This window comes from Homo sapiens, chromosome 5, assembly GCF_000001405.40.
Source record: "Homo sapiens chromosome 5, GRCh38.p14 Primary Assembly".
Taxonomy (NCBI): Eukaryota; Metazoa; Chordata; class Mammalia; order Primates; family Hominidae; genus Homo; species Homo sapiens.
This window is the reverse complement of record NC_000005.10, coordinates 125,142,248-125,158,206: the sequence shown is the minus strand read 5'-3', so window position 1 is coordinate 125,158,206 and position 15,959 is coordinate 125,142,248. Positions and strand designations below refer to the sequence as shown.

Here is a 15,959-nt window from a genome sequence, read left to right as displayed (position 1 = left end):
GGAATAAACAGGTCTTTCATTCTAGTGCTCATTCTTGGGTTCCCAGCTGCCTCCTGGGTCTTATTAAATAGCCAACTTTAAATAAAAACCTGCAGAAAGAGATGTTAGCATTGACCCATTGTGATATGGGATAGAGGAAAAAAGGCAAGGTTATCAAAGCTTGACTTTGCCAACTCTGTGGTCTGCCCTGGAGCTAACCCTGCTGCTACCGTTTTTTGTGTCCCTTCTTCCTCTGATCTAGTTTTCCGTGCTTCCTACCACAACTATCCTCAGACCTATACTGCTATAAGCACATGAGGGTAGAGCCTCAATTCCCATTGCCACTCAACATCCATTTCTCCCAACTCTGATTATTCAAAGGTGCAGAACTAGGGAGAACTTGCCCTATTTCAATGTTCTGAGTGTATACCTGACTGTTTTAGGATAAACACTGAAATCAGCTCTTCTACAGCCTATATTTCTTGCTGTGAATTGCATCCCTATAAACTGGCTACCTTAGGAATGTGTTATTAGTAAGGAGGGAATGTGCCTCTATAGTTGTACTAAAGCCAGGTTTGCATTTGGTGTATGTTCTACGTATTGATTCATCTGTGGTGTTTGTTTTTCAAAAGCAAGGGGTGAACAACCAAAGTCTACACTTTAAAATGGAGAATATCTGACTACTTTTCTCAATTTAATTTAGATTCCGTTTTATGAATTAAAGTGGCTGAACAGGTAACATCCTGGCTAGAGAAAAATCCACTATACTCTGAGCCCCAACTAAACTGAATGACTTACAGTTCCAAAGATCAGTCATCTCCTTGCCTTTGCACACTTTCCTGCACTTAAAATATCCTGTCCCTTTCTTTTTCAAGTAGAAGTAAGGAAGTCAAGTCTCTCAATGTCCCACTGTTTCCCAGAGTGACAGAAATATCACCCTCTGAACTCCCACATCATTTTTTTCTCTGAACAATTCTTATTTTCACCACTAGATTACTAAACCCTTGAAAGCAGATCTCAAAGTATTTAGCTCTAAAACCTTTTAATTACAATGAATTCGATTCTATATAAATGCTAAATAGGTACATAAATATACACATGTGCATAAACATTATCTACATTTCAATCCTTTCCATTGGTTCATCAACAATCTGCAAGAATGCTGATACTTAGGACTTTTAGGAAATAAATATAAAATGCAAATAAAATACCCAAGAGAAGCAAAAATAAAGAATGCAGAATACTGATTGTATGTATCCTTGAGAAAGTAAAACAGTAAAATAGATATTTACTAGAAAGCACTACACAAAATAAACAACTTTCCCATATATTACTTTGCAATATCAAACTCATTCACTATTTTTTATTTTAAATATCTACCACAACCCCCATATTTTTGGAGATTTTTATGAACATGCAAAAGAAATAATAAAGTCTGCTATGAGCATTGAGGCAACGTTAACACAGACTTTTGTGTGTTTAAACGTCAAGGCAAATTTGGTAAAGAAGTGTCCAGAGAATCTGAGAGCAACAATAACCTCAAGTTCATTGGAAATTTTGAAATTCTGTGCATTGTCACACACATTTAGGTGAAATCTCCCTTATTGTCAAGAACCTACAAAAGGTGAAATGGGTCTTAAAGAAACATAGGATTCACAAAAAGCAGGTTATTGGTTCATGTTTAGTAAGCGTGACATAACACTATCTGCCTTTTTTAATGCTAACGATAGGAAATATTAATATAATAAAACACACTCCTATCTCTGAGGAGTTCAAATAGGGTGAGACGTAAAGTCACGCCCTCATCACGTGATAATATGGTTCCCCAAGGCCACAGAGGAGATCTGATCAATGTGTTTTCCAGAATACAATGGAAAGAGTGCTTAGTTCTAAAAGAAGAGACTGTTGTGAGATTAGGTGACTTTTGGAGTATAAGCAGGAGATGTTTGCCCATGAGATAACGCAGAGAGGATAACAAAATTCAAGGCCAAGATTGCAGCATAGGCAAAAGCAAGAATGCATGTAAACACCTGGCACATTCTATAAACTGCTAAAAATCCAGGTGCTAAGGACCCAAGCTTCCTGGGATCAGAATGAAGTGTTTGATCTGATTGTAAGGTTAACTCTACTTATTCACTTACCAAGGGAAGAAAAACAAAATTAAGAGACAGAAGTTTAAAAATCTGTTAAAATCCCCCGGGTTAGCAGAGAGGTTCTATAATTCAGAGAGGTTTGCAGTTCATCAACTATAGTTTATCGCCTTGAGAAAGTAAGAAACACGTTGAGTGTGTGTTTTCACAAGCTGCCACTTTCTGTATTCAACGTGATTTTCCAAATGGGGAGATATGATATTTTTCACAAAGAACAGGCTTCAGGAACAAAATCTTTTTAGCAAAGAAAACATTTTCAAAGTTACCATTTCACCAAACTCCCTAGGCAAATGAATATATACACCCACCTCTTAACCTCGTAGTTTCCTTAGAAATGTCCAGTTGAAAGGACTTAATGAACAGTTGTGGGAGTGCACAGTTAACGACACTGGTTCTCACTCACCCACTGATATGCTTTGGCTGTGTCCCCACCCAAATCTCTTGAAATGCAGCTCCCATAATTCCCACGTTTTATGGGACGGGCCTGGTGAGAGATAATAGAATCATGGGGCCAGTTTCACCCATACTGTTCTCATGGCAGTGAATAAATCTCACGAGGTCTGATGGTTGTATAAGGGGTTTCCCTTTTTGCTTCACTCTCATTCTTCTCCTGCCTGCTGCCATATAAGATGTGACTTGCTCCTCCTTGCCTTCCACCATAATTGTGAGGCCTCCCCAGCCATGTGGCACTGTGAGTCAATTAAACTTCTTTCCTTTATAATTATCCAGTCTCAGGTATGTCTTCATTAGCAGTGTAAGAACAGACTAATACACACACAGAGCTAGGAAGCCAGTCTAGCACTCAGGAGTCCAAGTGCTATGCAGGCTATTGTTAAAGTGACTGTTAGAAGCAAAGCTCCACAGGTGAATCGCCATATAACTCTCTGTGAGGCAATAATGAGAGCATTCTCTCCTGTTCCCAGTAGTCTTGCTCCAGTCCTTCCTTTTGTCCTCCACTCTCAATTTTTCTCTTCCAGAATATCTCCCCTAATGAACCTGATCCCACTGGATATCCCTCAATTATCCATCTGGAGCTACTTACTGGCACTGTTTGCTTCATCTCTGCTTGTCATTTTCATGCATTTATATTGTGTCTCCCAACTGGACCATAAGTATTTCTGCATCTTACCTTGGCCTTTCCTGTTCACGCAGTGAACATTCAATAAATTCTCTCCATTGTCTGTTTCATGAGCTGTCTTATAAGACAGATCTAAGAAATAGAGGAGTCTAGGGATTTCAGAAAAATGTATCATAATAAAAAAAGCTCCAGTAGCTAACAGCTGGAAAAATTGAGGCTGCTAGCAAAAAAATATTGTGGCAACAGAGGGAAGACTAGAAAAGAAAACAAAATATGATTAGAGAGTAGCCTGAGTAAGAAAGGGGAGGGAGGGACCAATAAATGCTCACTCTCTGAGAGACTGATCACACCATTGCTATAAGGCTAGGAATCTAATTATTTGTTTTTAGGAATGTTGGACCACAACTTTCAAAACAATTTCCTTGGAAGACATGTGATAATACCAAGTAACTTTCCTTGATTTTTAAAATATTGTAAAAGTGCTTAATGTGCTTTATAAACATTACCAGAATATTTTAAATAAAATGTCACTTTGCCAAGCCACAACTCCTTTTGGCCCCATAACTTACATCAGCACAGCCTGGATTCTGGGAAGGCCCACCAAGATTTTGGTGACAGATTTCCATCACTACAAAACAATGGGGCCAGCTTGAAAATGAGATGAAGACCAACTCATCCCAAGAGAAAACATGACAGCTGAGACATGACGAGCTTGGTCTTTATCCTGGACTTTGGTTGCCTGGTGAGCATATGTAGCCTGGCATTCAGCCGCATGGAAAGCTGAGGAAAGTTAGAAAGGATACTAATAATGTCCAGTGATAGAGAAAAGTGTCTCAAGCCCAAACAGCACTGAGGTTTCTTTAACACCATTACTCACCTGCTGTTATATATTGATGAAATGTAATGACAATATTCGTTTATAAGCATATCAATAGGTTCAGAACCAGGAATAACTAATACAGATGGAAAAATGTAAAAGTGGATACAAATGGAAAAATAAAGACTGTCTTACTCTGATATGTTGCATGTCTACTCAGAAAAGTTGGACTAAGGTGTTGCTTTGGCAACATGAAAACTGTAGGAAAGACCTCTCCCCAAACAATCCTCCTTCTCCCTAACCAGTTGTCTTCCAACAAGAATCTTTGCTTTTTCTTAGTCATTTCTCTTAGGAGAGGAGGTTTAAAGAAGATCAGTAATTTACTTTTCATGCATAGTAAGAGAAATAACAGGAAGCAGAAGATAAATGAGGAAAGGCCCTCAGAGTAAGAAAGAGGGACTAAGAGAAGGGAAGTCACTTCATTCGTTATTTGGTCTCAGGATTTGCCTATGTCACAAAGAAAGAGAGAGGAGAAAGCCGGTCCAGAGAAAGATAGATCAAAGAACTTGAAGGCAGACCAGGAGAGAGACTACTACCAAAGCCATGCATGAGGAGAGGTTTGTTTTTTGTTGTTATCGTTTTTTGTTTTTCTTTCTTTCTTTTCCTTAAGAAGAATTATGGACAAATAAATCCTACGTAGGCAGATCTTTCATAAACACTTACTCTCTGTCACGGTATCCTGTTTATTTCCTTCATAGTACTTATTGTAAGTGGCAATTAAATGATCCATCTCTGCTTTACTTCATTTCCTGTTTCTCTCAGAAAGTATTGCTGAGAAGAGGGAACTTGTCTTTTGAACAAATCGCTAGGATGCATCAAATAATATTGTTGAATGACAGAATAAATGAAAATGAGAGTGCTGCAGCGAGTTTAACCAGAATGAGCGGGGGAAGTGTGGCTACAAAGGAGCAGCGGCATTTAGGAGGACCTAATAACTTCTAGGGGAACAGTTTCAGTACAGTTGTGTAGGGCCTAAGAGAGATCTTAAACTGGTTCTCAAAGGTGGTCTTGCATCACGCACACCATGGAGTTTTTTTTTTTCTTACTGTGTGGAGTCCACATCAGCTCATTACAAAACAGGGGAGCACTGTTCACTCATTTTCCGTGTCAGAACCACACACACTATTACCTCAGGAATGCTAAGAGGGACGCCTGTGTCATTGTGGACATTTACCACTCACAACTCCCTTCTCCCGGAAATATTTCTTCACAGCCACAGCCCTAGCGGGTGTTGGTCGGGGAGTGTGTGTGCCATCCTGGTACTCCTAACCATGATGGCAAAACATAATCCGAGATGGACCAACCCCAGGGCTCCTCACCCTACTGTTTGTCACCCCTCCAAATCCTACCTGAGGTTGATAGTAGCTGCTCCACACATGCTCATATAACCCAAGCCAGAGAAATGAGAGTGCTTTCTCCGAATGTTTCAAGCGTTTCCTGGAGAAAATAGTGCTTTCCTCTCTGATCACGTTGCAATAAGGATGTGATTCAGAGACTGCCCATGGCCCTGGCTCCCATCACATACAGAACGCTGTTAAGAGGCTGGGCACAGTGGCTTACGCCTGTAATCCCAGCACTTTGGGAGGCTGAGGCAGGCAGATCCCTTGCGGTCAGGAGTTTGAGACCAGACTGGCCAATATGGTAAAACCCCATCTCTACTAAAAATACAAAAATTAGCCAGGCGTGGTGGCGCATGCCTGTAGTCTTAGCTACTCAGGAAGCTGATGCAGGAGAATGGCTTGAACCCAGGAGGCAGAGGTTGCAGTGAGCTGAGATTGTACCACTGCACGCCAGCCTGGGCAACACAGGGAGACTTTGTCCCAAAAAAAAAAAAAAAAAAAAAAAGAAGAAGTGAAAACTCATAAAGAGGCAGAAACATGAGTAGATTTGCAGGGCCACTCACGGTCCCTGGCTCAGGTCAAGTCTGGGTTACTGAGTTCTCCCTGTGAGTCTCTGTGTTGCTCCAATATTCCTCCCCTCCCACAAATCCTGTTTTGTTTAAATCAGTTTGAAATGAATTTCTGTCACTTGTACCCAAGAGAACCCTAAAACAGGTAGTTATGCTTCCTTTAAATTTCAAAGTAAACTAGGAAGTGTCTTGGATAATTATTTTCCCCAGGCTTGAACTGGCAGCTAAGAGTTAATTGTCAACTGAGAGGCTGCCCTTGGAATAAAAGAGTTACTTCTCTATATTACCTTTTTCTGCTTACTTTTGGTCTACCTCAGAACAAATAGAGGACCAAACTTACACAAAGAGTAAGAGGAGTGAGAAGATTAACGGCTAAAGACACGGGCTTTCTCCATTCCTATATTTACTCATTTAGCTAACTGGCTAGATTCTGCAGAATTATACTCTACTGACTCTCACCCTTCACCCACTGAGCTCTGGAGTTTTAGTCTGAGGAAATAATTCACCATCAGTAGGTCAAAACACAAAGCAGTGCATTTGTTATACAAGAAAAGAGATTTTGCAAGTGAAATGCATTACAATTTGGTCTTTGTCCTTTTCCTTCCCTCTTTTTAATTTCTTCTCCTTGCTTCTAAGCTTTTGCTGTTTTCCCTTTTGCATGTGTAGAATAGTATATTTCATAGTGCTCACTGTACTCAGGAAGAAAATATTGCAATAAAATGTGCTATTTTAAAATATAAAGAATAATGTATCAATATTTGAGAACATTTCAGCTGACTTCATAGGTCTAAACACAGCAGTAGTGACCTCTGTAAACATGACTTAAGCTTTGAACAGTTATTAAGTGTGGCAAACAGCTATCCCTTTCTCCGACCCTCCCATCCCCCATCCAGCCTCATTATTCCTTACTAACAAATCTCTTTGTACAAGCAGTATTAAGCAGAAAGCCAGGATAATTGTGGTTCACATAAGCCAGTCATGATGAGTTCTTGCCTTTTTGCCAATGATTGGTCTAAGGGCGACCCTGTGGTCCAATTCCAGCCTAGATAAGACAGAAGAAGACTGTGAGGTTTTCCAAGATTCTCCCAAAAAAAGGTGAGATTCATGCCTGCTGGGAAGCCTGTAGGTATGACTGTAAGAAAGATGTCATAGACTACTACCCAAGGATGGAAAAGTAAATGAATGGAAGGAACCTGGCTCTTCTGGAATTTATGTTAAGTTAGCAACTGTCTTTATGGCCAATACCACTATTAATGCAATTATTAGTTATTTATGACTGAATATATCTTAGCTGATACATTATGAAATGGAATTAAAAGTACATTTACGTTCATCAAATTTTATTATGATAGCAAGGGGATAAGTACTAATCGATAAATATTTTAAACATGAAAAAGTCGGGATTTTTTCACTACAGTACCATAAACTCTTGGCAGATAAATTCTGGTGTAAGTCAAGACTACACGACTATAGGAAAATAAAACTTGTAAGTGGAAGAAAGTAAGAATTTAGTTTTACATATGCGAAAGTACACTTGGTCTGGTTTTACTTTATGCATCATTTCTCTCATGTACAACTTTAGCATTTACAGATATGATTAAAAACAGATTAGCTGAACAGAATGTGTAATGGTCCTCAGCTGAGTATCAGAAAATTAAAACAGATTTGAAAACTCTTCTGCAACACTCAGAATTTAAATACATTGAATATGTCAGCAATTTTGTACTCTCACAGCAAGAGATAAAAGAAGCAAAGATAAAGGGATGCACAGAATAGGAAAGTCTTTGGGGATATTAAGGCAATTAAGAGCAATATGGAAGTAATCAAAACTTGGTCGACAGACCAAATAAGACCTTATGAAATAAAAATATGGGCCAACATTTGCAAAATGTTGCATGCCTTCAGATTACATATGTCTACAAAAGAAATCAAGGGTTAGATTCAATGTGCAGATATGAAACATTAGCAATGGTTGAAATGCAAAAGGATTTCCAAGGCTTGAGCATAGACAGGCATGCTGAAGTTTAAATCCTTATATAGCCACTAGCCAAGTTTGGAGGGTTAAAGCAGTGTTTTTCAATCATTTTATCATGAAATGACAGAATAATGCACGAGTAGAAAATATGCAAAAGTCAAAGAAACAGTGAGCTTGGGTTGTTCATCGTGAGAAGTTCTGTTTTAAATCAGTGTGATATATTCAGGAAGTAGGTTTATGTTTTTATCAAATTTTTTCTGATATAATAAATGTTGAAAGACATATGTAACAAACACACCCAATATCCTAGCATGAAACATACAGAACTGCCTGAATGTGGGCACTGGCTGTTGATTAATAAAACCAAGCAAGATTCTCACATCAGGGGATACTGGGCTTCTCTGGAGACTTCCCTGTGAGAGAAATAAGAGCCGCAGACATAGATAAACATGGGGTTTAAACTATCAGTCAATGCAGATCTCATGAAGATGAGAATGCAGCCAACAGATGTGACCCAAACCGCACCAGACAGGGAAATCACAACGAGGCAGACAAAAAGCTATGTCTCTGTCTGGATTGTATGTGATGGGTTGGAAACTGACATATTACAATCCAGATTTCACTGCAGCAGCTGTCATGTTGCTGATCCACTTGTGTATTTCTTTCAGCTCACTCAGCCTCCTTTTGTGGTTCTTCAAATGTGGCGGGATCCTAAAAAAAGATTAATTTAATCGTATCAAAGACATTTGAACTTTAAATAATAATGCCACAAAGGAGAGACAGAGCTGGTGCTTCTGTTGCTAATTTGTTTCATTGCTTCTTACATTTGCTGCTTCCCTACACTCAGGCAAACCTCCCGTGTTTGTACTGCGGCTCTGATTGTTAATGGACTGTCTAAATGCTTCTCCCCTTCCACCCCAGCATATCCAACTCCCATCTTTTTTCTTTGGCTGAAAAATCTGAGGCCAGATGAAGACTATTGTTTCCAGCAAAGACAAGTTTCTGCTAGTTTTCTCAGAGAGATGTTTCCTTACAGTCCCCCTAATAATTGTGGAAATCCCATTTGGAACCTAGTAACTATGCCTTATGTTTTTACACACCAAGCAGAGCCACAGGATGGAGGATCCACTAATTAGCCACTTTGAGAACTTGCCCATAAATCGGAAGACAAAACACCTGGAAATTGTAGGGTTATGTGACAAATCACCTTTTCCACCAGTGTTTACAAATGGAAGAAAAGAAGTCTCTGGGTAAGGCAATATTTTCAAGTCCAGGGAACATTCCATAACCACGAAGGGCTATTCCAGAAATAAGTTAGCAACAAGAGCCTCTTTGGCTTTGAAGTATTTCAAAATACACTGGACATAAAATTGGAAAGCATCCTATGAGTCAACAATACTTCTAGGAAATAGGAGAGATGGAGACGCCAACCTTTTTCCTAACTCTTTCCTGAGTCTAGGGATGGAATAGACAAGAAAGCTGTTGTGCAAAGAATGGAGAAGATATCCAAGGTACAATGATCAATGGAAACTCTTCTTGTAAAGAATGGAGAAGATATCCAAGGTACAATGATCAATGGAAACTCTTCTTGTCCACTCACTGCACAGTACAAAAGGAAAGGTTTAGTGTGTGCTCAAAGGAACTCAGGCTCAAGGGACTTTTTCGGACTTGATATTCAGTAACTACCACAGAGAACAGATAACTTGAGAGCTGCATCTCCAAAATGAGAGGCTGGGCTAAATGACCTTTATGATCTCATCCTCTGTCAAACAGGCAGGGGCCCAATATCTCTAAAAGTGAGACAAATGGATATCAAGAACAAAAAAGAACCAACCACCTCTCCATAACATTCTTCTGCCAGTTGAGAGCTTGTCATCTTCTCTTTTCCACATCTAAACCTTGAAAGCTCAGGATGCACATTTCATAGGTGAGGATTAGGAATAGGAAGCTCTTCTGTTTGGGAAAGCACTTGAACAAAGTAAACAGATGAGAAACGGGGACCTGTTGAGTGCTGTGAAGTACTAGAATTCACAGTAGATAAATTGTCTTTTGGAAAATGGGGATTTACACTGTAATATCTTTAGGGATAAATTATATATATATATTTTTCAGACAAATAAGCATGGTCCTTTTCTAGTCCACTTGACTCAAACTCCAGGGAATGAGCTGCTGTGGTCTATAGTGTCCTGGTCAAAGGAGATGGAAGGACTGGGTTCCTGGGCCAGACCTGGGAATTAGATTTCCTTAAAAAGGTCTGATATGGTGTAGACTGACATGCCAAAAAATAGCTAATAGTTAGCAAATACGTAGCCTTTCTATGTATCAATACAAACGTATGCACATGACATATATGACTCATTTAATCCTCTCAACAATCCTATAAAGAAGGTGCTATTATCACCACCTTGCCCATGTGGATGCTGCCCAAGGTCACATGGCTGGTAGTGACTATTGAATGTTACAAAACAAATCCCTCAAAACGTAGTCGCTTAAACCAATAATAATAATTTATTTATATATTTCATGGTTTCTGTGGGTTGGATATTCGAGAGCAGTGTGGCTAGGGGATCCTGAGTCAGAATCTCTCATAAGATGTCAGATATCACCTAGAGCTGTAGCCACTGGAACACTTAACTGGGGCTGGAGGATCAGTGGGTGCCACGTTGGAGCTGCCATGCCCACAGCTAAAATGTGACAGAAGCGCTAAGCCACCCCAGACATCTGGCTCCATAGTTCCTGCTCTTCACCACTCTACAACGTCACTTCATGGCTGGAGAGATGCCTTTTCCCTGTGGCCGGGGAGGAAGGGAGGAGCACGAGAGAGGCAATACTAGGAACTTGGGTATCTTTGGATGAAAAGTTCAAATTTTCTTTCTTTTTCCCCTTGGAACCTTCAAAGTCTTATTCAAGGTCCAGTTTTAGGTTGATAATTTCCTTTAATTTGCCTCCATGAAACCACTTTTGTGTTGGCAACATCGTCCCATTGGGAGAACCTAGGCCTGGAGTTCTTTTTTTTTTCTTTAAATTTTTTTTTTTTTTATATTTTAGAAACAGAATCTCACTCTGTCTCCCAGGCTGGAGTGCAGTGCCTGAGCTCACTGCAGCCTTGAACTCCTGGGCTCAAGTGATCCTCCAGCTTAGCCAGCCGAGTAGCTGGGGCTACAGGCACATACCACCATGCCCTGCTAGGCCTGGAGTTCTAACTGCTGGACACCCAGGAAATGGTAGAGATCCCAGGTGGAGCTTCTCAGAGGTGAGACGAGGAGCCAGGTGGCAGGAAGAAGCAGGGAGAAGCAGGGAGAAGCAGGGAAGCAGTTTGGGCTAGCTCCTTCTCCCGCTAGATGTCTAGGGAATAAAGGAGAGGATAGATCTTAAATTTGTATCAAGAAAGCCTGTGACAGACATGGGTTACGAACTAGGAGAGCTGGTAGTTATCGATGTGTGTCTTCTACTGCAAATGAATCAGATTCTAGGCACAAAAAAAATTTTCAGATGTGAAGGTGAATATGTGAGAATGGTCCCCAAAGAAGCAAAGTCAAAGAAAAAGTGGTGATTCTGATAAACAGCCTTGGATATCAACAAATAACTTATTTCAAAATTTAGAAATTACCAAGTAAAGCTGAAATTTAATCACATTAGCATTCAGTCTTCTCACAATTTGGATATAGTCTTCTCAAGAATTTTATATAGAAATCTGAGCAGGGCTTTCCCCCAAGCCAGACACTGGTAATTCCTGAATAAAAGGCAAAATAGCTAATATACATATGAGAATTTCCCTCAAACTTTTAGTAAGCAGAGAAATTCAAATTAAAACATAAGGGATTATTTTTCACTTATCACCTTGACAAATTTTTAAATAATAATACATAGTGTTGGAAAAGATCTAGGTAATAGAGACACTAATACATTATTAAGAGGCGTGAAATTAGTTCAGCATTCAAGAGTGAAATTTGCTGGTATTTATTACAATTCTGCAATGAAGTGCTATCTTACAGAAATACTTCCACTTGTTCCTAAAGAGGCACATATGAGAAAACCCATTATCAAACAGTGTATAACATCAAAAAATTAGAACCTCAGTTGTTCATCTGTAAGGCATGGTTAAAAATAATTATGTTATATGCATAGTATAGAATATTACCCAGTAGTTTAAAGGAGCATGGAAAATCTATAAACAGTCATGAAAACTTTTCCAGGTCATACTGTTAACAGAAAAAAAAGCAAGTAGAAAACAGCTTAATCCTATGTATACAAAAATAATTTAAAACTATATACTATGTAGGTATGTATCTATAAATAAATCAATCTATATAAAAAAGTTCAGAAGGATGAGACTCTTTATATTTATATGAATACAAGGAAGAGAATATACAGGTAGAGAAGAGGCTATTAAAAAGAAAATTACAAACTTTTTCATCAAGAACTTATTCATGTATTACTTGTGTTAAAAAATATAGAGAATGTTTCTATTCATTGAACCATTCTCGATCAAGTACCTAGTGCACAAAACCATTTCATAAGAACACACAATATCGTCCTTGTTGTGATCACGTTCTCAGAAAATCAAGCCTTGTTTGCCTGAAACTCTAAGCAATAGTGGACCAGGTGTTTGAAAAAATGAGGAGAAATAAACCCATCTATCTCTGTTGTCTGCTTTTAGTTTTTAGCGTGACCTTCTTATGGTTTCTGTCTTGGTATCCTTTTTATGATCATTGCTTCCCCTCAAACTCATGTAAAAGGTCTGAAACATAAACGATCAGTTCAACTGGAAAATTGGATATGAAAGGATGGCTTCATGAAAGGCCAGTTTCCACATTTAAGGCAAACTTACTTTTCAAGGCGAAAATTGCAAATAAAAATAGATCAAAATTCATGGTTTTTTCCAACATGAGAAATAGATATTTACCACCCAAATCTCAATGAATACTCTGTTTTCTCTCCAAATTAGTCTATATAACTACAATATAAGCTACCTACTGTCTATAAATGCTACCAACAGAACAAATATGAAATTATTCAATAGTTTCCCTGTTCATCACACCTGGTTCCTTGGAGCAAGATATTTACATCTGCTCTAAGCTTCTAACTACTTTTAGCTGTCAGAACTCCATCACAGCTATCTTCCTCCCTAGACAGCAAACAGCTTAAGGGTCAGAGTGTGTCTAATTCTCCCCTGGATTAACCATGGCACAACATCTAGCTCAGTGATGAGTCAATAAAAAGCTCTTCAATATTATTGTTTATGAAATATCCAATTGATTTTTAAATGCTATGTGTTAAACAGAGCAACTATAGAAGAAATTTCTATTCCTGTGATTTATTACAAGTCACGAAAGGAAATATGCAAAACCATAAGGTACAATTCCAAATGTGATCCTTTGAAAAAGAAGTAGAACCATGTAGTAGAATCTGGGAGCTGTAGTGGAAATTTGAGCACTGCAGTTCCTTCAAGCCAGAAACTATATCTTCTATCTCTATGTTTCTACATCCAACACTGTGCCTGATGACCCAGTGGGTGCTCAAAGATATTACTGAATCATGATTAAACCCCTGAGCAGCCTTGGGCTTTGAAGGCAGACAATCTTGTGTGGAGTCTCGGCCTGATAAATTTTAGCCACGTGACCTTAAATTTTCTGTTACTTTGGATCCTTATTTGTAAAACTGAAATTAAGAATTTCATAACCACCAGGTTGCTGTGACTATTAAATAGGTAAAATATCCATGGCAGTGCCTGCTTCTTGAAAAACAGTATTTATGTTCCTGTTCACTTCTATCAAGATAGAAGCTGAGTTTCATCTTGCGTGCACTCTAGAGGAAAAAAAATGTTAAAATCAATGAAAGAATTGTCCTGGGCCAGTTTGAGCCTTAGCCACCACAAGTCTTTGTCATCTTAAGTGATATTAATATGATGTGAATTAAGTTAGAAGTTTTTAAGTCTTTGCAATCTCTTTCTCATTTCTCCCCAACTGTCTCCCCACCTTCACCACCTAAATAAAAGCTTTCTTTTTCCACTTTTTCCACTGCCCTCATCTTTGCCTCCCAAGACAGAAGCTGAATTTGTGAATTCAAGTCTTGAAGCTTGATGGGGAAGACAAGAGAGAAAGCAAGAACTGGAGAAGCAAAGAAGGAAATTTGCAAAGGAAAAAATCAAGGTTAGTTCAGGGGAGAATAGAGAAATCATAGGCAAAAGCAAAGAGGAAGGAAAGTAAGTCTTTTGAGCTAAATTTGGAAAAGGGTGTTGGGTAGAGATTTGATGAAGAATGTTGCCTAGAGAGAAGCTTCTGGGTGCCTAAGTGTAAGAGATAAGTTAGAAAAAGAGGAAAGATTTTTAAAAAGCGATTGCAATGAGTTAAAAATTTGATATATTTAAATGTTTTCCAACAAATTTAAGTAAAGATTGCAGGTATGTTTAGTCATTTGGGGATGCTGATCTACACATCTTTATGTACAATACCATGTAAAAGCTGGGTCTCCTAGTGCCCTAGGCTTTTTTCAGGAGTTTCTAAAAATTAAACTTGCCCTTTATACAGGAATTAATAATGAAAGAGACTGCAAGTGGCATACAGAAAGTTATATGTAGTTTTGTTAAGAACATTACACATAATAAGTGGAGACCAAGAGAGGCTAGGGCAAGCCAGTTCCACACGGAGGGCAGAATCCAGTGTGGCACTTGCCAACAGGCCTTGGGTAAGCAAGACTGGATTCTTCTTCCCAAAAGGACAGAAAATGCATATGCATGTACACAAGTTTAAGCTCCTATGCTTCTTTATTGTAGGTAAGTAAAATATCTAAAATAGATCAAGTTAAAATGATCTTTATATCATTGTCAACCACTTGTTAGATGCAGGGTAGCCCTCTCATGTAAACTCTACTGAAATATAGAACATATACAGAAATGTGTATGTCTTAGTTTCCTAGGGCTGCTGAAACAAGTTACCACAAACTTGGTGACTTAAAGCTATAGAAATGTATTCCCTCACACTGCTGGAGGCCAGAAGTTCTAAATCAAGGACCTGGCATTGCCACAGTCCCTCAAGATGCTTTCCCAATGAGAATTCATTTCATGCCTCTCTCCTGGCTTCTGGTGGTTCCAAGCATTCCTTCGTTTGTGGGCACCTCACTCCAATCTCCGCCTCCATCTTCACACTGCTGTCTTCTCTGTGTATTTAGCCTGTGGACCCTCCACTCTGCCTCCTATTCTATCTGTGTGTCTCTCCTCTTTGTGTCTTTTATAAGGACAATTATCACTGAACTTAGGGCCCACCCAAATAATACAAAATGATCTCCTCATCTGAAGATCTTTAATATGATTACATCTGCAAAGACTCTTTTTCCCAATGGGGTAATGTTCACAGATTCCAAGATATGACATGGACCTATATATTTATAGGGACCAACATTCAATTCACTACAGTGTATGTGTCATAAGTATATAGTTCAGTGCATTTTCCTAAAGTGAAATAGCCATCCCCTAAATCAAGAAATTAGCAGCAGCCCAGAAGTCCCCACATGCCTCTTCTTATCACAGCTACCACTTCTAGGATAACTATTAGTTTTGCCAGTTTCAGAAATTTATATACATGAAGTCATTGTGAGATCACATTGTGAGTCATTCATCATTGTAAGATTCATGTAGATATAGATCATTCTTTGTCATTGCTTTGTGGTACTTCATTGTATAACAATATCACAGCTCATTTGTCCATCTATTGAAAATGCACATTAGTATTGTTTCTAGTTTTTGCAATTAAGAATAATACTTCTATAAATAATATTTCTAGAATAACTATATTATTCTAGAAGATTATTCTAGAGTAACTATATTATTCTACAAGATTATTCTAGCTTAACTATATTAGTCTAGAAGATTATTCTAGAGGATATTAGTCTAGAAGATTATTCTAGAGTAACTATATTATTCCAGAAGATTTTTCTAGAGTATATTATTCTAGAAGATTTTTCTAAAATAATTATATTCTAACATGTCTTTT

At 38.5% G+C, this 15,959-nt stretch overlaps 1 long non-coding RNA gene across 1 annotated transcript in view; it reads right to left on the bottom strand.

The window, feature by feature from the left end:
* The window catches only part of LOC101927421 (uncharacterized), a 330,904-nt gene that overhangs the window by 209,528 nt on the left and 105,417 nt on the right, over window positions 1-15,959 (bottom strand). The window lies entirely within an intron of this gene.